Source organism: Homo sapiens, chromosome 16, assembly GCF_000001405.40.
Source record: "Homo sapiens chromosome 16, GRCh38.p14 Primary Assembly".
Classification (NCBI taxonomy): Eukaryota; Metazoa; Chordata; class Mammalia; order Primates; family Hominidae; genus Homo; species Homo sapiens.
This window is the reverse complement of record NC_000016.10, coordinates 19967718-19969985: the sequence shown is the minus strand read 5'-3', so window position 1 is coordinate 19969985 and position 2268 is coordinate 19967718. Positions and strand designations below refer to the sequence as shown.

General features: G+C 44.5%; 1 annotated feature.

The window, feature by feature from the left end:
* Positions 342-842: an enhancer, noted in NCBI's record as "NANOG-H3K4me1 hESC enhancer chr16:19980466-19980966 (GRCh37/hg19 assembly coordinates)". NCBI's record gives its function as "activates a minimal SCP1, AML or CMV promoter by ChIP-STARR-seq in primed H9 embryonic stem cells {active_cell/tissue: H9 hESC(primed)}" and the evidence as "EXISTENCE:reporter gene assay evidence [ECO:0000049][PMID:30033119]".

Below are 2268 nucleotides of genomic sequence, written 5' to 3'. Positions count from 1 at the left end.
GAATAACAAGAGAAAATTCATTTAGGTTGTCGGAGAGAGGGCTGGTCAGGGAAGAACTCCCTGGAGAAATGGTAAATGCTAGAAAACTGAGACAGCAAAAGGTAGAGGTAGTTCAGAGGAAGTAAGGTTAGAAGAGGCTTCTGGAAGGCCACGGCATTTGAACTTGACTTGGAAAGATGTGTGGGACTTGGAAGTGCCAGAACCAGCCTGCCACGTGCAGTTGTACAGACTGGGCACTGCTCAACTCCAGCAGACACATTCATATGAACACGGTGGGAATGGCACCCCCTAGGGTTGTGCAGTTGTACAACTGTCTGCAGCAACCCTGTGCTGCACTGGGGAGAAAAAGCATTCTTGAAGAAGGGAACAAGGCACCGGGTGATAGTTAACAGTCCCTTAATTTCACCAGGACCATGAACAAATTGCCCTGCCTTAAATGCTTCCTGTTCGGTGTTTTCCCTCCACCTCTTCCTCCACGGCCTGCAGTTTGTGCATCGTGGGGCATTCTCAGGCCTCCTCAGCAGCTGTGATGAATATTTCCTTATTGCTGGTAACCATTCCCCCAGTGAGTCCCTTGCCTGGTTCTCCATCAGCCCTCCTTCTGGCTGCAGTGTGTTAACAGGGTACTCAGCCCCATACTTATTACTCCAGTTTAATGAGCTGGTGGCAAAACTTGATGATATAAAATTTATATTTATTGAATCTGATTGTCCCTGAGCCTGCTTCTGCATGTGTAGCCTGCTTGTCCTAGAGGCTGGGACCACTCTGGATTATTGTGTTACCGTTTTATTGATGGGTGAACCCATTTGCTCATTTCTTTGTACAGGAAGTCACACCCCCTCCCATCTCCACTGACTGGGTGCAGGCTTGTTTTCCACCTGGCAACTCCTTAAGCCAAGTAGGGGAGAATTAGGGCAGGAGTCCAAATTCATGTGCCTGCCAGGACCAGGCGGGCATGACAAATGAGTGAATTGGGCTGGGAGATGAGGGGACGAGACAAACTAGAGAGCACAGACATCACCTAAAAGGGATGGCCCTACTCGGTTACTGGCCATTGTTGCCTGCCCATATGCAAATGAGCCCCATTGTGAGAGGATCTTCAATTTTCCAAGAATTTGGGAAAGGGGGATTTGTGTGTGAGTTTCTGATATCTTTCCATTTTAAATACCTGCAATTAATTTTTAAGAATGTTTTAACATAGAAGTCAAACAAATTACTTCTGGAGGTCAAATCCAACCCTTGGATTTCTGTTTGCCATCTCTGAGCTCAAGGAAGCTGAAAAATCTGAAGATAAGAACACCCTTTCCTGGTGGAAACCACAGGTCATCTGACCTGAGAGACCAGCTTTTCCAAGGCAGAAGGATGTGCTGCTTAAGAGAACAGGCTTTGGAGTCAAACACATTTGAATTCAAATGCAGGCTCCACCCCCTTGTGTGACCTTGGGCAAGTCCTTCACCTGCTGAACCTCAGATCCCTCATCTGAGAACTAGAGAGAAGTCCACCTGCTTTGCAGGGTTGCTATGTGGAATTAAGGCTTGCTTTGACCCGGTGAAACATGAGCACAATGATGTGTATTTGTTCCAGGAAGAAACTTTAAGAGCCAATGCACTATGTGCTATGTGCCCTTTCTTGTACTGTGACCACATGTCAAAATTTGGAGCCTCCATCATCCTGAGTTCCTCAGAACAATGAGGAAAAGATTCCCCTGCTGACCTTCAGCAGACACACAGCATGTGGAAAAAGCAAGCTCTATTCTAGCTAAGCCATAGAGCATTTGGAATTTTTTCTTTTGTTACTGCAGCAAAGCCTACCCCATCCTGACTGGTATGTAGGATGGGGTAGGCTTGCTGTAGTAACAAAAAATTACAAAATTAGTACATTTCGCAATTACTTTTCATTGCAAAAACCGCAAAATTACAAAATTAGTACATTTCGCAATTACTTTTCATTGCAAAAACCGCAAAATTACAAAATTAGTACATTTTGCAATTACTTTTGCACCAACCGAATATCTCATAACATTGTTCTAAGAGTTAAATGAATTATTAAATATACATGAAACACAGAACAGTGCCTAGACATGGTAAGCTCTTCTATTAATCAGCTTTGTTATAATATCAAATAACTCCAACATTTCAGTGGCTTACAACCACAAAAGTTTACTTCCTGGTTTCATGCTGAAGGGCAGCCCCTCTCTAGGATAAGCCCTAAGATGTACTGTTCTTGTGACAGAGGAAAGGGACAAGGGAGCTGGCAGAAACAGACAAC